Source organism: Homo sapiens, chromosome 8 (genome assembly GCF_000001405.40).
Source record: "Homo sapiens chromosome 8, GRCh38.p14 Primary Assembly".
NCBI lineage: Eukaryota > Metazoa > Chordata > Mammalia > Primates > Hominidae > Homo > Homo sapiens.
In genome coordinates this window covers 22,693,694-22,714,229 of record NC_000008.11, presented here as the reverse complement: position 1 = coordinate 22,714,229, position 20,536 = coordinate 22,693,694, and the positions used below count along the sequence as shown (strand labels likewise).

Below are 20,536 nucleotides of genomic sequence, written 5' to 3'. Positions count from 1 at the left end.
ATGCGCCTCCCTGTACACACTTGTGTTTTCTCCCCCTGAGGAGGAACCCCTCCGACCTGGGCACCGTCTGGGTTTCTGCAGGCCCAGCTCCCCCGCCAGGGTCCAGGGGCTGCCCCTCCACCTCTGCCATGGGGAAGGCACACTGGTGCACCCCCTGTCCTGGGACAGAGACGAGGAGGTGTTTGGGGTTTAGGGGAGAAGATTGAAAGAAGAGCACAGATACTTCCACCAATCTCAGCCCCAGCAGCAGGGGTGAGCAGGTGTGAAGGAAAGTAGTGGGTGAAGCCTCCTGTCCTGGGGTCAGGGGAGCCTGCAGGGAGAGGGCATTAGTAGAGGAAGTGGGCAGCCCGCATGACTGGGCTTCCTTTCTGCCCGGGAGCGGGAGCGAGAAGGCAGTTTTGCTAAACAGAGGTGCTGGGGAAGGAGATTCAGACATTCTCAACTGGGGCTGGGCTCTCAGTCCCCATTGCCCTCTGGGGAGCAGGCAGCTCTGCTGCTGTTCAGAGGCTCTGCTAACATCTGGGGGCTACCTCTGCAACAGGAGCCGGAAGCTCCCCCAGCCACTACGCCCCATGGCCATCGCATCACCTGCTGCCTCGGCTCCCACGAGCCGGCCTCCCTCTCAGGCCCCTGCCAGCTTTCAAGTCCATGGCTCTTTCTCACTGCCTCCCTGTGGTCTGTTTGTCCTTCCAGGCTCTTGGAAAATGGACAGATTTCTGAACCGTTTCCACCTGGGCGAACCTGAAGCAAGCACCCAGTTCATGACCCAGAACTACCAGGACTCACCAACCCTCCAGGCTCCCAGAGAAAGGGCCAGCGAGCCCAAGCACAAAAACCAGGCGGAGATAGCTGCCTGCTAGATAGCCGGCTTTGCCATCCGGGCATGTGGCCACACTGCCCACCACCGACGATGTGGGTATGGAACCCCCTCTGGATACAGAACCCCTTCTTTTCCAAATAAAAAAAAAATCATCCAGGGCTTGGTGCTTTGTATCCTAGCTTGTATTCCTTTGAAAAGCAACAGGAGGAAATTGGCCAATATCCAGCACTGGGGACTGAGGCTTTCCTGTAAATGCAAGGGGTTGGGTGGGGAGTGGGGGGAATAGACGGACAGGCAGGATATAGTGATCCCTATGCCTGAACTGTCACTGAGTCGCTGTGAGACCTCACGGAAACCTCTTACCCTCCCCAAAGTTCTGCTCCCTTGGTTGTGACACGGAGGTAGGAAGAAGTGGGAGAGGGTGGTTGGTTTATCACCACGGGCCTTTCCAGCTCTGACATTCGACAACGTTCATTCAGCGACTATTGTTGCATGTGGGGTGCACCTGGCCTTCCTCCAGGCACTGGAGATGCATGCCTGCTTCATCCCCATGCATGGGTAGATAGGGCAGACACAGCATGGTGCTCACCTCATGGAGCTTCCAGTCCAGCAGGGGAAGCAAATATCCCCAACAAATGATAAACTGTGATAAGTATGATGAGGGTGCAAAGGGGGCCTGATTTCTGACGGAGAGAAAGGGTTGAAGACTCAGGCAGAGCCCTGATGTTTAACTTCAGGGCTGAAAAGTGGGCTAGGGGTTACCAGGTGAGTGGAGACAGGAATAGAGAACATTCCAAAGCTCCTCCGAGCCCCTGTGGCTGGCAGGGGCATGCATGGCATCTTCCAGGAAATGAAAGGCCCATGCTGTGGCTGCCGCAAAGTATGAAAGGGCAAGAACAGTATGACGGGTGGGCAAAGGCCAGACCATGCCAGGCCTTTGTTGCCATGTTAAAGCTCTGGATTGTATCCAGAAAGCAGTGGGAAATCATTAAATGATAAGTAGATTGGGCCAGGCATGGTGGCTCGTGCCTATAATCCCAGTGCTTTGGGAGGCCAAGGCCAGAGGATCGCTTGAAGCCAAGAGTTCAAGACCAGCCTGGGCAGCATAGGGAGACCCCCATCCCTACAAAAATAAGAATAAAAAATTAGCCAGGTATGGTGGTGGATGCCTGTAGTCCCACCTACTCAGGAGGCTGGCATAGGAGAATCACCTGGGCCCAGGAGTTTGAGACTGCAGTGATCTATGAATCTGTGATTGCACCACTGCCCTCCAGCCTGGGCAACCCAGCAAGACCTCATCTCTAAAAAATTCATAAAATAAAATAAAATAAAAATAGATTGGAGAGGCAGATGGCATAATCAGATGTATGCTTTTAGAAAGCTGTGAATAACGCCAGGTGCGGTGGCTCACACCTATAATCCCAGCACTTTGGGAAGCCAAGGTGGGCAAATCACCTGAGGTCAGGAGTTCGAGATCAGCCTGACTAACGTGAAACCCTGTCTGTACTAAAAATACAAAAATTAGCCCGGCGTAATGGTGGGCGCCTGTAATCCCAGCTACTTGGGAGGCTGAAGCAGGAGAATCGCTTGAACCCGGGAGGCAGAGGTTGCAGTGAGCCGAGATTGCACCACTGCACTCCAGCCTGGGCGACAAAGTGAGACTCTGTCTCAAAAAAAAAAAAAAGAAAGAAAGAAAAAAAGAAAAGAAAGCGGTGAATAAATTCTTAGGTATCTGCAAGGAAAGGACTTTTGCCATCTAACTTCCCTGGGCTTTCTCTGCAGGCCTCTTGACTTCCCCACCCAAGGACCCCTGGGAGACACCTCCCTGCTACAGTCTCATTCCCAGCCTAAAGTTACAGAGGCCCCATGCCTCCCCACCACCATTCCAGTCCTTTCAGCACCCCTAACACCCCCTTCAGTTTGGTTTCCCTTCATGAGTTAATAACCCCGTCTCCTTGGCTAGCATGTAGCGATGTTGGTGACTCATGTGTGCAAAGTGCTTTGAGATCCCCAGATGAAAAGAACAAGCTATACCTGGGAACAGGGTTCTTATCATCTCAGAGTCCTGCCCCTCGTTAGCTGGAAGGCAGAGGGCCCTAGATGACCCCTCGGCCCAGCTAAGCACGCTTTTAACTAGTGGAACAATTTTAGTGGTGGGGATCTGAAGAAACAGCGGGGCTGGAGGTTGAGTTTGTGAATGGGAGAGAACTGAATGATGCCCACTTCATTGATAGATTCAGCTCCCTGCCCAGGTAATGGGCACCAAATTCTGATGCTCCAGAAGGGCATTTTATGCCAGCCCAAGGTAAAAGAAAGCCCAGGCAGGAGAAATTGTGGAGCCTCCCCACTTCTTTCTACCCCACCAGGCAAGCCTGCAAGCCTGCAAGCCGACCTAAAATAAGAAGCAAAACGAAGTGTCCATTTGCAGTGCCATGGAAGGCAGCCTCGCAAGGGACTTTCTGGGTCCCCTATTCCCTGGGACCTTCTCCCCCACAGCCCCCACCCCACCAGACTCAGAATGTAATTGGCAGCTCCGGTTGGTGCCCAGGGCCAGGATAAATAGAAGGTCAGCTTCCTAGAGCAGCCCCAAATTGAGACACATCCTCCCCTCTTCTGCTTTTAATTCATTGTGGCTAGCATGTTTATTTTGGGTAAAGAAAAAAAAAATCGGATGTTTATCCTTCGAGGAAATTATCGGCTTGCTTTCTTTCCTTCCCCCAACCCCCTCCTTCCTTTTGACTTGACATTTTGGGCTTTGAGTTTAGCTGCTGGAGAGACCCCCACCCTCCTGGTCCCAAAACGTGAAAAAAGAACAAAGCTGGCCCAGGCTCTAGGCTGAAGCCAGCCCTGGCCAGGCGATCCCTGGAAACCACAGGGAAGGAGGTCCCAGTTGTGGAGAGGGGAAACCTGGAGGCCATGGGGACCTTGGGGAAAACCCAGCCTTGACGGCGCTTTCCGCCTGCAGAACCCTTTGGGCCTCTCATCCCTTTTCTTTGCACCACCTCCTCCAGGAAGAAACAAGATGAACAGCTAAATTGCTTTGAGATCTCCAATGAAGCAGCTAAGAAAAATATAAGGGAGCATTAGCGACCCCTTTACCAGGTAAAGAGAACTGACATTATTATTATCATCATTGTAATCAGATGCATTTATCGAGCACTTTCTGCATATCAGGTTCTACACAAAATGCCTAATGTGTGGTATCTCACTGAATGCATCCCCACGCTACTTCATGGCCTTCTGGGGGCCTTCATACATGTTCTCTCATTTGATTGTCACAACACCCTAATAAAGTGGATGTTATTCTTATTTTAGAGATGAGAAAACTGACATTCCTGTAAGTTAAGGAACCTACTCCCTATTCCATAACTAGTCATGGTGGAATCTGGTGTTAACTCAAGCCTCCTCAGGTGTAGTATTTAGAGGAAAACTGGACTCTAATTTTACTCTCTTGGCTATATAAAATAAAAGCCAGATCAGGATCTAGAGTGGGACAAAGAGAGACGGCCGGAATTTCCAGAATAAATTAAGGGGACTCTTCTCCAAGTGACTTTCCTTACTCCAGGTTGAGCCATCCTGGGCCATGTGTGATTTGTGGGGATGGCCAGAGTTCCTGGATACTCAAGTCAATAGCCTGGTCCAGCCCAAGGCCATTACCGTCCCTCCCCACCTGCCCACAGCCACTATCCCAACAGTTTGCCATCCTTAGTCCATTGAATGACCCCTCTCCCTCCCCATCATTCCTGTATAATAACTGCTTTTAGGTAAGGAAGAAAGGTAGAAAAGAAGGGAAAGCCACCTAGGAAGGCTCCAGGGTGATGATATTGATGATGGTGATGATGATGGTAATGGGTGATGATGCGGATGATGGTGATGGTGATAATGAGACGATGGTGATGATGATAATCATGGTGATGGTGATAATGAAGTGATGGTGATGGTGATGATGATGGTGATGGTGATAATGAAGTGATGGTGATGGTGATGATGATGGTGATGGTGATGATGATGGTGATGGCGATGATGATCATGGTGATGTGATGGTGATGATAAGGTGATGGTGATGGTGATGGTGATGGTAATGATGATCATGGTGATGGTGGTGGTGATGATCATCATCATAGTGATGGGTGATGGTAATGGTGATGATGAAGTGATGGTGATCATGATCATTGTGATGGTAATGGTGATGATGAGGTGATGGTGATGGTGATGATCATGGTGATGGTAATGGTGATGATGAAGTGATGGTGATCATGATCATTGTGATGGTAATGGTGATGATGAAGTGATGGTGATCATGATCATTGTGATGGTAATGGTGATGATGAGGTGATGGTGATGGTGATGGTGATGATGATGGTGATGGTGATGATCATGGTGATGGTAATGGTGATGATGAGGTGATGGTGATGGTGATGATGATGGTGATGGTGATGATGATCATGGTGATGGTAATGGTGATGATGAGGTGATGGTGATGATGATCATGGTGATGGTAATGGTGATGATGAGGTGATGGTGATGGTGATGATGATCATGGTGATGGTGATGGTGATGATAATGGTGACAGCAATGGGTCCAGGTGTCAGCACTCAGCAGCCAAGGGATAGGAAGAAAGCCTAGTACATGCATTCAGTGATGCCATTTAAAAACACAAGTTTTCTTACTGAGCAGATCTGAATTCACATAGAATTTTTACCATTGATACCTCCGTGACCTTGGCAACTGCTCCAGACCTGTGTTTCAACTGCAAAAAAAAAAAAAAAAAAAAAAAAACCAGTATAATGAAAAATAAATGGAAATAAGTGCCTTCCTCCAAAGATGTGTTGCAATGGTTAAATGAGATAGCAGGGAAGGCATCTGAGCACAATGCCTGGCGTGCAGGCTGTTCGGTAAATGTGCATGTTCCTCTCTTTCCCTGCCTCCACCTCACCTGTTCTCAGCTTGGCTGGAGCAAGCAGTGAGGCTTAGGGTATTGGGAAAGAAGCATCTCTCCCAGAAGAGAGTCCTTCCCCAGAGACCTATCAGAGGCTCGGCAGCCCCAGGGAAAGGACCGACTGCCAAGGGAGCCTCAAGCCTCAGCCCAGCATCCCCCTCCCAAGCTAAGCAAAACATTGGGAGGCTTGGATCAGGAAAGACAACCCAGTTCCTTAGCAACTAACAAGAATTTCCCTGTAAAGACAAAGACCCTTCACTCAGAATGCTCCCTCCCCCTAGCCTCCCCAGGTGTCTGATCTGCTTTGCAGGAGTGGGGCTGGGGGCCTATCCAAGTCCCCAGGACATCTAGAGGCCTCTTGCCTCACCCTCCTGGCTGTCCTGATATTACCTGCAATTATCCCAGAACACCTTTCATCCTGGTTCTAATTAATTTTTCCACTTACCCCCAGGAGCTTCTGGGAGACACATGAGATACACACACATACACACACACACACACACACACACACACACACACACACACACACACACGAATGCCCATATTTTCCTTCTGAGACTCTCCATTTGAAAGACCTGAAAAGTATGGTTAGTGAAAGGAGCCCATTTTTTGAGGGGTTCTGTCTGCTGCCTCCCTGGTATTTGGAAGGAGAAATGAGAGTTGAAAATGGTGGTTCAGGGAGAAGGGAGGACAGGGTCCCAAGGTATCTTAGGGGATGAAGGACAACAAAGGGCTTTTAAAAGGACCAAGGAAACCCATGCTGGGACAGCGGTCTCAGCACCACGTGCCACCTCAGAGCCTCCAAGCACAGGTCGTCCTGCTTAACACAGAACATTTTAAATAAAAAAAAAGGAAATGTTTTAATAGTAAAGGAAAGGTTGAGAAAGAGTGGGAAACAGAAGGAAATAGAAAAGAAAAACATGGCTGTCTAGCCTGAAAAGAACCACTGACCAGGAGTCAAGATCTGATTCCAGTACCAGCTTCGCCATTCACTGCTGTGTGAGCCCAGGTTAGTCAGCCACTCTCTCTGGGTCTCAGTTTCCTCATTGATAAAATAATTTGGGACAGGTATTCTCTGACACCTCCTCTAGCTGAATGTTCTGCGATTCTATATGGGGAGTGGCAGAGAAAGCTATGACCACTCGCTGGGGCAGAGAGTGAGTGGAAGCCACTAGAATGGATAAAATAAGCATTTCCAGAATCCAGAATGAAAGAGAGCCAAGTGTATTTGGCTGCAGGAGCCAGAAAGCCCTCCCTAGTGGGAGGCCTAGGTTAAAAGGAGTTTACATATGTGGGAGCTGAAGACCCTGGGAGTTCCCAGAAGCAGCAGACAGGCCAGTTTCCCCCAAACCCAGGCCAGAGAAAACCCATTCAGGGGCCCTTAGCACCTCATGGAGGGAGGATGGAGGAGCGCATAGGCATGGGTCTGCACGCAGAGATGGAGAGCAGGATGCAGGAGCACACCCTGTATTCCTCATGAGCTGGGCTCCACACCATTGGCGTAAGTCAGCTGGGCAGAGAGGGGTGGGTAAAAGAGAAGAGGCTGACCGTGTCGTGAAGGAGCAGCAAGGCCACTGAGTCCTAACCTTGCTTTCCAGTCCCATGATGGAAGCAGGAGAGCAGCTGAGTGTGTTTCCCTTAGGGACTGGGCCATAGGGGCGGGCCTGGGAAGCACCCTGGAAGTTCAAACACCCTCCCCCTACCCCCACGACCCCCCACACCCACCAGCATGCCAGAAGAGCTGGACCTGCACCTTCAAATCACTGTAAAGAAACAAATACTTTGTACACATGCTGCGGCTGTGAAGCCAGCGCACAGTCAGCGCTTCTGCAGGACTTAGGGAGGCTCAGCTATGAGCCAATAATTGAATGCACCACAGAAAAAAAAAAAAAAACTTAGATCTCCACCTTCTTGGCCAAGCGCAGTGACTCACACCTGCAATCCCAGCACTTTGGGAGGCCAAGGTGGGTGGATCACTTGAGGTCAGGAGTTTGAGACTGGCCTGGCCAACATAGTGAAACCCCGTCTCCACTAAAAATATAAAAATTAGCCTGGCGTGGTGGCAGGCACCTGTAATCCCAGCTACTTGGGAGGCTAAGGCAGGAGAATTGCTTGAACCCGGGAGGTGGAGTTTGCAGAGATCACACCACTGTACTCTAGCCTGGGTGGTACAGCGAGACTCCGTCTCAAAAAAAAAAAAAAAGAAAAGAAAAGAAAAAGAAACCTAGGTCTCTGCCTTCTGGAAGCTCTTCTGCTCTTCCAGTGTGGTGGGAGAGAAGATGGACAGACCCAGAGGTGGCCAAGAGTTGTGTTGATGGTGACACCTGTGCAAGAGGTAAGAAGAGAGGGATAGGAAGGCTGGCTAACAAGGGAGGAGGGACCATTCCAAGCTGGGAGGGGACGGGAGTGGATGTAGCAGCCTATTGAGGGAGAAGGGAGCTTGAGGAGAGAGGCCTAAAATAAAGGACAAAACAGTTGCTGGCCCCAGGCTCATACCTGCAGTTCACTAACCTGCCCTCAAGCCCTGATCTGCTGATGGCACCTACAGCCCAGTATTTGCCCACATGGGCCCTAGTCACCATTGTCCAGAGCCCAGCTGTCTTCCTTCGCCACCCCCTGAGAGGCAAGCCCCGCCTGTCCACACGTAGACAAGTGTGTGTACACACATTGACACACACCTCTAGTCTATGCAACTTGCACATGCTTACTGTAAATACAACAGCCCACACAAAATCACATGGTGGATGTACCCGCTAGACACTCCAGGATATCGACTCTGCCAAGCTCTTTCTAGACATCCATGCAAGCTGTGTACACGTGCATTGCTCAGCATCCACAAATGCGGACATGGAATTTGCATGCACATGGGATCTCCATATATGCACTCCCGCCTTGTTCACAACCTGTACACACCCCAGCCCACCACTGATACAGAGACACACCTCCGTGTGGATTAGACTGAGGACCAGGCAAGGCCTAACCACAACTCTCACTTTACATCTTCTGATGCAGCGAGTGGATTTTTGACAGCGGCAGTGGAGGTTTCATGGAGGAGGGGGGACTGGGAGGAGTTTTGGGGGGTAAAGGGGAGGTTCTGGCAGAAGAAGGGAACTAGGCCTTCCCTGAAGTCCACCAGGAAGGCACCCAGACACATGCCCTTCCCCCCAGCAGCCCTACCTCTGGCCCCTTGCCTGCTGCCAGGCCAGGGAAAGGAGAAGCTAAAAGTGGCCAGTCTGAGTTGCTAAATTGGACCTTGGCAGAGAAGGGGAAACGCGTCAGTTCCCTGGGGAAGTGGCCGAGCCCAGAGCGGCCACAGGCCCCTGGGCTTCTACTCCAATGGAACAAAAGTTGCTCAAATAGATCTGACGCTTTGTTTTCAAACCCAAAATACCCTGTGGTGGCCGCCGGAAGTGTGACCGCGGGAGGGAAGTGGGGCAAGAGGGGAAGATTAGTTCGAGTTTCCATTGCGGCATACTTTTTCTTTCGTTTGGGGTCTAGAAGCACCTTTCCTACCGCTTGGAGAGAGTGTTTGTGTGAGAGGGGAGTGCGGCTCTGAGATTTGGGGCTGGGGGACCCACAGCGCGACGGCAGTCACCCTTCTTCCGCTGCCATCTCTCCCCACGGCTGGCTTCTGAAAACAACCCTGTCCTCACTCACTGTCAGAATTTCATCTCAGGCCACCTGGTGGCAGGGCGGCAAAGCCCACCCAGGGGAAGAGGGGCTGATGCCGGGGGTAAGGGACATGTCGCAGGTGACTTTGCCTTCAGAGACCAGACTTTCCCTTGTGAACTTTGACGCTTTTTTTTTTTTTAACAAAAATTCTGTTTACATAGAATTTTTCAAAGGGCACCCAGTACGTGAGGCCATAGCTGGACCAAAACACAGACCTACTTATTCAGACTCGGTCCTTTAATGACTACCAATGCTAGCTCCAAAATGCAAGGATTGCGGAAGAATTACAGGATCTCAACTTGTACTCCCCATCACCTTCTCTGCCCTTATCCCAATTTATTTATCTTCACACGACTTACCGGCACCTCACATATGTGTGTTTGTCTGTGTCCACCCTGAACACTCATTAGACCTGGACGTCCCCCCCCGGAAAGACTTGGACTTGGCTTTCATAAGTGCCATATCCCCAATGGCTTACCACACAGTAGGTGCACAATAAACAATTCTCAAATGTTGGGGGAAAATGGGAGAAAGAGAGGTCATCAGACAGTTCTCTTGTCTCACGTCACTTGTAAATTCAAACTGCTTCGGCGGCTCTACCCCAGCCTCTGGTGTCATGTCGGGGTGCAGTGGGCCTCCAGAAGGGAGAGTTGGGGGGTATGATAGGAACACAATACAAAATCAGAGCTCTGGCCCTTGCGGAAAAAACTTTTGGGGGAGAAGGGTGAGACAGACATTTATCAAAGGATACACAACTAAATGTCGAAAGGTAACTGGGGACGATTTCCGGCAACCTAGGAGAGGTATTTACGGTAACACCTGGAAGAGGGTACACCGGGAAGACTTTTCCGTGTGCGGAGACTGGCGGATGCTTGGGGTTTGACTCTGTGAAGGCCCCAAACCCTACCTGGCACCGCGTGGTGCCAGGTGAGGCGGGGGGTGCCTCCCCCTGGCACCCGGACACCAGGGATTCGAACCAGTCTCTGAGGAGGCCGAGCGGCGCCGCCCGCGGCCCGGGCGGCGGGGGGCGCCTGTGAACCCGGGCTGCGGTTCAGACGCGGCCGCGCGGCCTCGTCCCTGGGTGCTATTTACCGGCTTTTAATGACGGCAGGGTAATCACCCTAATGAAAAACGCCCTCGGGGCTCAGAGCAGCCAGACTGCGATGAGAAAACCGGGAGGCATCTCGGAGCAGCCGGTGAGTCACAGTGAGTATGCAGCGCTGGGCGCGAAGGACGCCCGGGTGCCCTCCCAGCCGCGCGCCACTCCCGCGCCGCCCCTGGAACGCGGAGAGCGTGGCTGCGTGCTGCAGGGCCGCAGGGTCTACGCCCCGGGCACCCCGACCCACCCTGGGAAACCCGGCGCACACCAGCCAAGCCTCCTGCAGACCCGACTTCTCCACTGCAACTTTTAGTCAGGCCTGCAAGGGGTTCCAGCACTACCTTCCTCCCTACTCATGGCCTGGGCTCCCCAGGGGCCTGGATTTTGAAGGGGCCACTCTCTGGTGTGTTCAAGACACCCCTGAAGATTCCAAGCTCTGCTGGGCTTCACATTCGCTCTCCTAAGGACCATTTTTCTGCCAGTGCCTCAGTTTCCCCAACTGAGTACCAGTAGCATAAGATTCTCCCCACCACCCTCCGCACCCTGCCCCCGGGTGGCAAGAGTATTCATTACAGTTTGTTCCTGGCTTTGAAGATGAGAAGTACCAAGGATCATTACCACTCAATTAACGGAGCTGTTACCACTGGAGTTTAGGTCTGATTAATCTGCCCCCTGCCCCCTGCCTTGGAGCCATGTTGCCCCCTGACACCCCTTCCTTGGACTCCCGCAGGCTCCTCCTTTCTCCTGGATTTCATACCTGGAGTTAGCCCCTTTCCTGTTCCTGCCAGTACTCTCGGGTCCTGAAAGAGTGTCTGCCACATTCAGTCTTCAACAAGTATTGTTGAGCTCCCCCAGAGCCAGGGGCTAGATGCTGAGGCAGGGCAGTGAAGGTCACAGACCCAAGCCTTCCTGGAGCTCACCTTCTGGTAGGTGCCCAAATGTCTATGTGGGATCCAGTGTATGTCCAGGGCTTCCTTCTGCCTTCCACCTCTCCCTCCAGGGTTCCTTGTTCAGACAACAAGCGATGGGCAGGCCTAGGCCTAGGCCAGGCACCACAGTCCCGGGTGGACAGTGCTAACGGGTTCTAGTTTCAGAGATGAAAACAACAAAGTTAACATAAAGAGGAGGGGAAATGATCACAGCACCTTACATGGAACACCCCCCACCCTTCCTCTCCTCTCCCCTTCTAATGGCCTCAGCCCCTCCTCAAGGTCTTGGTCACACGCCCCCTCTTCTATAGGGCCTTCCCCTCGCCCTGAACATCTCTCTCTTCCAAGCCTGCGGTGGTCCTTACCAACTGGAACTTCCTGCTTGTACCTCCTCTGGACGTGCATCATGTCTTATATGTGATATTTCCACTGAGCCTCATTCCACACTTCTCATTAAACTGTCTGCTGCCTGACAGCAGAATCCAAGTCTCAAGTTTGTTTCCTTCCACCAAGAATGCACGGGAGTTCTCCGTAGATGTTGCCCTCATTGAAATGAGAGAGCTAAGGCCTAGACCGGGAACGCTGCGCCCGCCGCAAAATGGAATTCTGGTGGTCAAGAGGCCCCCCATCCTGTGCTGTGAGGGTTAGGAGAGTCGGGGGTCATGGGGATAGAAGTAAAAGGACCAGGTGGGAAGGACAAAGTGGATTAGACTCCTACTCCAATCAATCATCCATCAGAATCACCAACTAGGACACTTGAATTGGGTCCACAAGTTCTTACTGAGTACTGCTTGGGGCCGGGCACAGTGCTAGGCACTGCGGAGACAAAGATGAGTGAGATTCAGTCCCTGCCGCTAGGGATCTTGGATACCATCTCTTGTCTTCAGTAACTTTCTGGGTGACCCTAGGCCAAGTAATTATGAGCAACCCAAATAATTCTCAGCGTCTGAGAGAGATCACGCCCCTCTTCCTTCGCCTATGCACCATGAGCCCTGGCAGGGAAGCCCATGCCATCAGTCAGAGCTTCCTAGCCAACGTGCAGCCCTCTAGTGGATTCCAGTTGGGCCAATATTGGCCTCAGGGGCCAGAGGCAGCCTTGGTTCTTTACTGCAGTGGCTGTAAAAAGTTTCATTTTCTATGAGAACTACAGCATGACAAAGGTCAGGAAGCGCTGCCTAAGTCATCTGGTGAAAGAGGATGCAAATGCCACCAAGGAGCTCCAATTCTGGGCCCCAAAGAGTCATTAACTGCTGTTCCCTGGATCCCAGAGTTTTGACTGCACAGAACAGCAAAGAAGAAACCAGAAGTCGGGCTCCATCCAGTTCCTCACCTGGGTGGATGAGGCCAGCACCTGATTGTTTTAGGCTGAGTAGGCTCCTGAAGCTGAGAGCTGATAAGAGACATTGATCTAGGGTTTGCAACTCTCTCTGGTTTCCCGAAGCTGTTTCTCACAGGGCAGGGAGAAGAGGAATCTGCCAGCCTTTGGATCAGCGTCTGTCCCATGGGCAAAGCCTTTATCCAGCAAGAAGCCAGCTGTGTGGCAAGCAATGGAGGTAAGAACGTGCTCTCATCTCTTTCGTCTCTAATACTCGGTCTTCTCTCTCACTCCCTCTTTGCTTCCCCTGACTGCGTCCTGCACCGTCCCCCCACACTCACACCTTTTCTGGTTCATTTCAAATCACGAAGTTCCTCTTTCCAAAAAGCCCCATCCCCAGAGAGTCCTTTCTGCAAAGACGCCCGTCCCTGCTGACTGAGAAGGGGCTCTCCTTGGGGCCCCCAGGGGGAATGACAGGACCTTCGGAGCACATGACCCCACTTACCCTCCCTGAACCCCTGAGCTAAGACAGCGAAGTTCCCACTACAAGCTCTCATCCCTCCTCCTTCTCCCTGAAGACCCCAGCCCAAGCCCTACAGAGCCCCTAAATTTCATTAGGAACTCTAACAGACGTCTCCTCTCAACCCTTCTGCAATAGAACCAGAAACTCATGAACAGAGCTGGGAGGAACTTAGAGGTAGTTTATCCCAGTCCAACCCCTTCCTAAAGGCCAGGAATAAGAAGGCCTTGGCCTAAAATCATAGATAATTCATAGCAGAACCCAGAACTCCTGATTCCCAGGCCAGGGCTAACACCTAACATTTACCCACACACCACACTTTGCACAAGTCTCACCTTCTAAGATCTTCCTTCTCTCCCTGCCCCAGCCCAGCCAGCCCCAAACTCTCATCCTCAGGACTACCCATGGCAGTGACTCGCTGTCTTGGACTTGTATCTTAGAAGAAGTCTCCAGGACAATCCACTTTGTAAATGTGGATTTTTCAGAAAAGTAAATGGTACTTTTTCTGGCCAGGCACGGTGGCTCATGCCTGTAATCCCAACACTTTGGGAACCCAAGGGAGGCGGATCACCTGAAGTCAGGAGTTTGAGACCAGCCTGGCCAACATGGTGAAACCTCATCTCTACTAAAAGTACAAAAAAAAAATGGCAAGGCGCGGTGGCTCACACCTGTAATCCCAGCACTTTGGGAAGCCAAGGTTGGCGGATCATGAGATGAGGAGCTCAAGACCAGCCTGGCCAATATGGTGACACCCTGTCTCTACTAAAAATACAAAAATTAGTCGGGCATGTTGGCGCACACCTGTAGTCCCAGCTACTCAGGAGGCTGAGGCAGGAGAATTGCTTGAACCCGGGAGGCAGAGAATTGCTTGAACCCGGGAGGCGGAGTTTGCAGTGAGCCAAGGTCACACCACTGCACTCCAGCCTGGGTGACAGAGCGAGACTCTGTCTCAAAAAAAAAAAAAAAAAAAGCCCTGGGTGTGGTGGTGGGCACCTGTAATCCCAGGTACTTGGGAGGCTGAGACAGGAGAATCACTTGAACCCAGAAGGTGAAAGGTTGCAGTGAGCTGAGATTGCACCATCACACTCCAGCCTGGAGGACAAGAGCGAGACTTCATCTAAAAAAAAAAAAAAAACAGGAAAAAAAAATGTTACTTTTTCTTTCTTTCTTTCCTTCTTTCTTTCTTTCTTTCCTTCCTTCCTTCCTTTCTTCTTTCTTTCTTTCTTTCTTTCCTTTCTTCCTTCCTTCCTTCCTTCCTTCCTTCCTTCTTTCTTTCTTTCTTTCTTTCTTTCTTTCTTTCTTTCTTTCTTTCTTTCTTTCTTCCTTCCTTTCTTTCTTTCTTTCTTTTCCTAGACAAGGTCTCGCTTTGTTGCCCAGGGTGTAGTACAATGGCACAATCTTGACTCATTGCAGCCTCTGCCTCCCAGATTTAAGTGATTCTCCTGCCTCAGCCTCCCAAGTAGCTGTAACTACAGTAGTGTGCCACCATGCCCAGCTAATTTTTGTATTTTTAGTAGAGATGGGGTTTCACCACTTTGGCCAGGCTGGTCGCAAACTCCTGACCTCAAGTGATCCTCCCACCTTGGCCTCCCAAAGTGCTGGGATTACAGGCATGAGCCACCTCATCCCTCCAGTAAATGTTACTATATAATAGGACTTTTTCTCTTTGGTCACCGGACTCTACCTGAAATTACTTAAAGTGTAATCAAAAATACTCTTATTTCAACATCATTATAATGCATTAGTTTGAATTTAGGCACAAACAGGTGTTTAGAAGAGACGTATGTAATTGGCTTGGAGAGGATCCGGTGGCCTCCGAGACAGCCTAGGAAAGGGATAGCCAGGTGCAGAGTGGCACAGTGGCCATTGCACCTACTGAGAGGCCCTGGCAGAAACAGTTCCTCCCTGATTCCCGTGGGAATGGTGAGTACCCTTATTCTCCTCTGGGCGATGGCTTCTCCCATGCCTCCATGCTGGGTCCAAGGGCGTGCTGGGGTGCCCCTCTCAAGCTTGCCTTTCTCCCACACGTTGATTTCTCCACAGACTTCATCCTGGTTCCTCCTCTTACCCACATCCACCACCCCTTTTCTTTCCCTTGACAGCCACAATGGGGACAAAGGATGGAGTTAAGAGCATTCGTTTTAAAGTCACACAGGACGAATTCAACTGTCAGACCAGCCAGGTAGCCTCCAGTAAGCTACTTGGACTCTTAAGACTTGAAAGGGCAGCCCTAAAGCCTTCCTCTCACAGGATTGTTGTAAAGAATGAAGAAAATTATGGCCTGAAACAGTGGCTCATGCCTATAATCCCAGCACTTTGGGAAGCTGAGTCAGGAGTATCACTTGAGGCGAGGAGTTGGAGACCAGCCTGGGCAACATATCAAGACCCCATCTCTACTGAAAAAAAAAAAAAAGTTTTTAATTAGCTGGGCATAGTGACACCCACCTGTAGTCCCAGCTACTGAGGAGGCTAAGGCAGGAGGATTGTTTGAGCCAAGGAGATTAAGGCTGTAGTGAGCCATGATCATGCCATTGCACTCCAGCGTGGACAACAGAACAAGACACTATTTAAAAAAAAAAAAAAAGAAAGAAAGAAAGAAAACTGAAGAAAATGAAATGTGTCCACAAGGCCTGGCCAAGGCAGGCATCAGATATCAGTTGCCCCCATCTTCCATGGCTAGAGCCCGGAAGCTCCTGCAGCTCCCGGGACTGGGCTCAGCTCCGACTCCACCAGGAGCACCAGCTTCAAGGTCTTCATGAAGCATGTGGGAATCTGTGGGGCTGCCAACAGCATTCCCTTCCTAAAACTTCTAGGCAAAACCAGCCTAGCCTCTGAGCTGGCTGTCATTATCCAAGAAATGACAATGACCTCTAGAACGCTAGGCAGGACTGGCCAGGAGGATTCCACTGTGACTTGTCCATCGCCTATGAAGCCCTGTGGCACACCCCAAAATGGAAAGCAACTGAGGACCCTCAAGAGAACTGCCATTCAGGAGCAGTCCCACCAGGGTGGGTTCCGTACACAGGTGCTTGGTGTGATTGGAGGAACCGAGATACTCTCTGCACCCCAAGTCTCCCACTCCTTGACTCTGATATGCCACAACCAGATGTCATCTCACCAGCATTCATGAGCACCTACCACTTTCCAGGCACCACGCTGAGTATTGGGCTTGATTCCTCTGGGTTATATATTACCACCCCTAAGCGTTTTCTTTTAAAATGCAAACACCCTCTGAGAAGGGCAATGCATTAGTTAGATTGCTCACACCGCAGACTGAATTAATTCAGGGTATGGGGAGTTCTTTATTATAAGATATCAGAGAAGGACTAGATATCTTTAGCAAACGGGGCAGCTAAAGTTCAGAGGGCAGAGGTGACTACAGAAAAAAGGACCAAGACAGCTGTAACTTTGCATTTTTCTACAGTGGATTTCAGTGGCCACATCTCCTTCCTCCTTTGTCCTTAATCAAGACAAACATGCCCATGCCCATAACAAGCAGCAGCAGTCCCCATAAGTGCAGCTGATGAGTTGGACTCCATAGGAGAGAGCGGCCAGGGGCTGGCAGCCCTGGCTCTGCTGCAGAGGAGCCGGCCTGCCTTTCACCATCTCCAGGATGAGGACGCCCTGAATCAGTGCCTACTCGCTCCCCAGCAAGTTCAGGGCTTAGAGTTCAGGTAATTAGGCCCTTGGCAATCTCACCTGAGCCCGCCAATAAAACAGACAAACACCTTCAGCTCCTGTTCAGGAGGGAGAGAGGAAACCAGGAGGGAGGAAACCAGGAGGGAGGAAGGGAAGGAGGAAAACTTTTTTCTATTCTAAGGCTTGGCAACCGGAAGGGAGAATTCATTTACAAAGCAGCCACTCCAACACCCCACTCCTGCTCCACACCCAGGGTTGTCCCCTCCTGCCACAGAACCCTGGACTCCATCTGCCACCATCATCGAGGATGACAGGGGACATCTTTGCAGGCTGCAACCTGAACAGGCACTGGGCACTGAGGGCCTAACCTTGTAGGGCAGGCATTCGCCAGCATGGTTCCTTCCAGCAGAGGAAAGAAGGCTCCCTCCCATTCCAGGAGCCACACCACCCCCAAAAGATGTCTGAAAGGCTGCTCCAGAGTGTTAGAGAGCAACTGAGTGACTTCTTTGAACCCTGCCTTGTGTCACCACCAGCTGTTGAGGGCTCAGCTCAGTTCATGTCTGGGCTCCTTCAGACCGGGGACCATTCCTTAACCATCCCTGGATTGGGACAGTGCCCAGGAGATACTAGGCACACAGATTTCGTTTCCCCCCCTAAATAATCAACATTATTAATACTTCTTGCATATGATCACGCTGGTCTGTGATGGAGTTCCATACCTGGCCTTTTTTACTACCTATATCATCTAAATTTACTCCTGCCACACACGAGAGGGAAGGGCATATCTGTCACAAGGCTGGGTGGGGAAGAATAGTTTAACAACAATTGCAGTTTATCGGGTGCTTGCTTAAGGGACTGGCAAGTACTCTATGAGGATTATCTAATTTAATTATTCCTAAGGGGTAGATACTATTATCCCAATTTACAGACAAGGAAACTGAGGCTAAGAAAAAAAAAACAGACGTTTGCCCAAGGTCACAGTGAAGCTTTAATGAAGACTTTAATTGAATTGAAGGCTCCCGTTTTATGCAAAGAACTAGTAGAAAGGAGAGGGAAGGAATCGTGTCCCCAGACTCCTATCCAATCTTGCTGACGGGTAAGCAAGCCCTGGTGCAGGTCAGCAAACCTTGCCCCATGCTCTTCTACTTGGAAGCAACAAGTCCAGCGTGCCGAAAAGTGTTGGGAGAGAGGCCGTCTCCTCCAGTTGGGAGTGGCTGCACTCCACAGCCTCTGGGGCCCTGGAAGCTTAAGGATCCCAAATGCTTCCACTGCCTCTGCCTTTCCCAACTCAGGCCCCAGTCGAACAGGATAAGGGCTTCTAGCTCCTCACTCTGCAGCCCCTCCTGGGGAGAGATCCTGACAGGTGGAAAGTGGGTGCATCACGGTGGGGTCCTCCGGAGTTGAGCTGGGCGGCCCGGAGGCCTCTCACTTCCTTCCCACCACCCCCGCAGGCTGAGCTCTGCCTCGCGCGGGGAGACATGGGCACTGCAGCCTTCGGGCCTGCAGCTCGCCCAGGACCGCGGACCCCACAGCGTCTCCCGGCCCCAGGCAGGAACCCGTGGAGACCCTCCGCAGCCTCCGGGTGCACGCGCAGCAGGAAGCACTCTGGAGGGGCCAGGTCTGGGACTGGCGCGCCCGAAGCTCGCTGGTTGCCGCCCCTCCCTGGCCCTCCCTGCTGCCGGGCTCTACGGCCAGAGGCCAGAGCCGCTGGCTAATTTTTCAGGCCCCCACCCCCACCCCCACCGCCTCCCTGGGTGACGCTACAGCCTGTGCGGTTCCTTTAAAGGCTGCGGGTTCCGTTCTTCTTTCCTTTTCCACTGGATGCCAAAATATGCAAATCTTGGGACCGGAATCTGCAGCCAAATCGAGAAGGAGAAGGGGCGCGGCCGGCGCGTCACCGGATCCGCTCCTTGTATGGCTCTTCCCGGCTTGGCCCGCCGCCCTGCGACCCTCCCCGCAGCCGCCCGGGCCCCTCCCGCACCTAGCCCGGCTCACACCGCCGCCCACGCCCCCCGACCGGCCGCGCGCCCCCCCTAAGGGAGGGAGCCGGGGGCGGGAGGCGCAGCCTGCCCTGATTCTGACCGGAGCGCGGGACCGCTGCAGCGCTCTCCCTCCCTGAGCCGCGCTGGCGGAGGACAGCCCGGGGGGCGCTGTGGCTCCCTAGTATAGGAGTGGGGAGCCTGGCGGGAGAGGCGGCGGGGGTGGAGAGAGGGGGCTCGCGGGAGGCGGGAATCCCTCCTTTCCTAAGAACTGGAGAAGATGGGGGGAGGCCGGGCCCTCCGGTCCCCAGCCCTCCACTGAGTGGAGGGGAGGGGAGGGGAGCGAGGTTGTCATCCACCTCCACCACAACGTGCAGCTCGGGAGTTCCTCCCACACGTCCCCGGCCCGCGTGGCCCTCCCACGGCGTGAGGCCCGGGGATCCTCTCTTCTTCCTTGTCAACACTCCCACTCCCCCCGAGAAATGCACGTTCCCCCAACCCCGACTCCCCAGGAGGGGACGAGGGATTCACCGCGCCCACGCGGCCACCGAGGAGGGAATCCTCCCCCGCCAAGCCGATGTGATTTGGGGTCGCACCCCCATGCTCCCGCCCTCTCCTCCCCCTCGCCCGCGGGCCGGCTGCGCGCGCCTCGGGAGCAGGCCCCAGGGAGCACAGCAGCCGCCCCCGGGATCTGCTGCCGCTCCGGGAGGTGAAAGCGCTCCGGGTCGGCACACAGGCCGCCCTTGACTGCGGAGCGCCGGCAGGCAGCAATGGGGACAGCCCTGTGGAAGGCGAGGGGGAGGGCAGAGACTAGGGGAGGCCCCCAGTGGCTCAGAGACTGTGGGTTCGGCGTCCTCCTTCTGGAACTCTGGCGGGCCCTTCGCAGGCAGCAGTAGACAGCGACTGCGCCCGGGCCTGCTGGGCCCTCCTGCCATCCTGTGGCCACAGAGGCTGCTTGGAACCGTTAGGGAATTTACTGGGGATTCAGTGCACGTGTTTATCTATCCCTTCAACTTCATTCTTTCCTCTTCACCACGAAAACCGCACATCCTCGACCCCATATGGATGGGGCTCTTGTCTTTGGCGCAACTGCTGGGGTGCTCCGAATCTCCTCGCCACTGCGCTCAGCCTAGAGTCAGCGCCGGGTCAGGGGCCCAGGGAGGGGCAGGGGCGGCGAATCAGAGTGAAGTTGGCACAAAAGTTCTTGGGATATTGGACCAAGGAATTCTGACAAGTTGAAACACCCCCCCAACCCTGCGCGCACCCCTCCTTCCCCCCACAAAGGGAAGCACTCCCTTTCTCTTAATCTCGGATAGGATCCCGAACGCTGGAGCCGCTGAGGTAGCAGGGGCGCAACGCACGCCTTCCGGGTTCCCCAGCAGTTCCCGGGCTGCAAAGGGATTTCGCCAGATGTTTTCAACTCTCTTTCTAACTGCTGGGGTGTTGGAGACCACTTGCAAACAACCCCACCCCACCGCCCACCTCTCCCCAATGCGCTCTCCTAACGCAAACCTCAAATAAACACACACAATGAGTTACTGGTGTTTCGACTCCACGCTACGCGCTTTGCGCTTTGCATGCAGCTGTATCCTTCTTTCCTCTCTCTTCTCGCATTCTTCTTGTT

The 20,536-nt window shown here is 52.6% G+C and overlaps 1 protein-coding gene and 2 long non-coding RNA genes across 4 annotated transcripts in view, besides 12 other annotated features; 2 read left to right on the top strand and 1 right to left on the bottom strand.

Annotated features, from left to right (window-relative positions):
- PEBP4 (phosphatidylethanolamine binding protein 4) overlaps positions 1-979 on the top strand; it is a 227,827-nt gene extending 226,848 nt beyond the window's left edge. For both annotated transcript variants that reach the window (NM_001363233.2, NM_144962.3), the window contains exon 7: positions 694-979. In NM_001363233.2, coding sequence (NP_001350162.1) covers positions 694-860 — 167 coding nt within the window. In that variant the 3' untranslated portion in view covers positions 861-979. The remainder of the gene's footprint in view (positions 1-693) is intronic.
- Positions 196-285: an enhancer, noted in NCBI's record as "active region_27090". NCBI's record gives its function as "activates an Ori minimal core promoter by ATAC-STARR-seq in GM12878 lymphoblastoid cells {active_cell/tissue: GM12878}" and the evidence as "EXISTENCE:reporter gene assay evidence [ECO:0000049][PMID:35858748]".
- Positions 486-685: an enhancer, noted in NCBI's record as "active region_27089". NCBI's record gives its function as "activates an Ori minimal core promoter by ATAC-STARR-seq in GM12878 lymphoblastoid cells {active_cell/tissue: GM12878}" and the evidence as "EXISTENCE:reporter gene assay evidence [ECO:0000049][PMID:35858748]".
- Positions 8,714-8,943: an enhancer, noted in NCBI's record as "active region_27088". NCBI's record gives its function as "activates an Ori minimal core promoter by ATAC-STARR-seq in GM12878 lymphoblastoid cells {active_cell/tissue: GM12878}" and the evidence as "EXISTENCE:reporter gene assay evidence [ECO:0000049][PMID:35858748]".
- Positions 8,964-9,053: an enhancer, noted in NCBI's record as "active region_27087". NCBI's record gives its function as "activates an Ori minimal core promoter by ATAC-STARR-seq in GM12878 lymphoblastoid cells {active_cell/tissue: GM12878}" and the evidence as "EXISTENCE:reporter gene assay evidence [ECO:0000049][PMID:35858748]".
- Positions 10,458-10,577: a silencer, noted in NCBI's record as "silent region_19012". NCBI's record gives its function as "represses an Ori minimal core promoter by ATAC-STARR-seq in GM12878 lymphoblastoid cells {active_cell/tissue: GM12878}" and the evidence as "EXISTENCE:reporter gene assay evidence [ECO:0000049][PMID:35858748]".
- Positions 10,708-10,757: a silencer, noted in NCBI's record as "silent region_19011". NCBI's record gives its function as "represses an Ori minimal core promoter by ATAC-STARR-seq in GM12878 lymphoblastoid cells {active_cell/tissue: GM12878}" and the evidence as "EXISTENCE:reporter gene assay evidence [ECO:0000049][PMID:35858748]".
- LOC107986926 (uncharacterized) lies at positions 12,590-17,623 on the top strand. The gene is made up of 2 exons (XR_001745831.3): positions 12,590-13,012; positions 15,397-17,623. It is a non-coding gene; the product is annotated as an uncharacterized LOC107986926 (long non-coding RNA).
- Positions 17,624-17,897: 274 nt separating this feature from the next.
- Positions 17,898-19,373, bottom strand: LOC105379321 (uncharacterized). Its single transcript, XR_001745832.2, has 3 exons — positions 19,016-19,373; positions 18,698-18,786; positions 17,898-18,289 (listed from the first exon to the last, which is right to left on the bottom strand). It is a non-coding gene; the product is annotated as an uncharacterized LOC105379321 (long non-coding RNA).
- Positions 18,439-18,678: a silencer, noted in NCBI's record as "silent region_19010". NCBI's record gives its function as "represses an Ori minimal core promoter by ATAC-STARR-seq in GM12878 lymphoblastoid cells {active_cell/tissue: GM12878}" and the evidence as "EXISTENCE:reporter gene assay evidence [ECO:0000049][PMID:35858748]".
- Positions 18,749-19,328: a silencer, noted in NCBI's record as "silent region_19009". NCBI's record gives its function as "represses an Ori minimal core promoter by ATAC-STARR-seq in GM12878 lymphoblastoid cells {active_cell/tissue: GM12878}" and the evidence as "EXISTENCE:reporter gene assay evidence [ECO:0000049][PMID:35858748]".
- Positions 19,459-19,678: a silencer, noted in NCBI's record as "silent region_19008". NCBI's record gives its function as "represses an Ori minimal core promoter by ATAC-STARR-seq in GM12878 lymphoblastoid cells {active_cell/tissue: GM12878}" and the evidence as "EXISTENCE:reporter gene assay evidence [ECO:0000049][PMID:35858748]".
- Positions 19,789-19,888: an enhancer, noted in NCBI's record as "active region_27086". NCBI's record gives its function as "activates an Ori minimal core promoter by ATAC-STARR-seq in GM12878 lymphoblastoid cells {active_cell/tissue: GM12878}" and the evidence as "EXISTENCE:reporter gene assay evidence [ECO:0000049][PMID:35858748]".
- Positions 19,871-20,516: an enhancer, noted in NCBI's record as "H3K4me1 hESC enhancer chr8:22551227-22551872 (GRCh37/hg19 assembly coordinates)". NCBI's record gives its function as "activates a minimal SCP1, AML or CMV promoter by ChIP-STARR-seq in naive H9 embryonic stem cells {active_cell/tissue: H9 hESC(naive)}" and the evidence as "EXISTENCE:reporter gene assay evidence [ECO:0000049][PMID:30033119]".
- Positions 19,929-20,038: an enhancer, noted in NCBI's record as "active region_27085". NCBI's record gives its function as "activates an Ori minimal core promoter by ATAC-STARR-seq in GM12878 lymphoblastoid cells {active_cell/tissue: GM12878}" and the evidence as "EXISTENCE:reporter gene assay evidence [ECO:0000049][PMID:35858748]".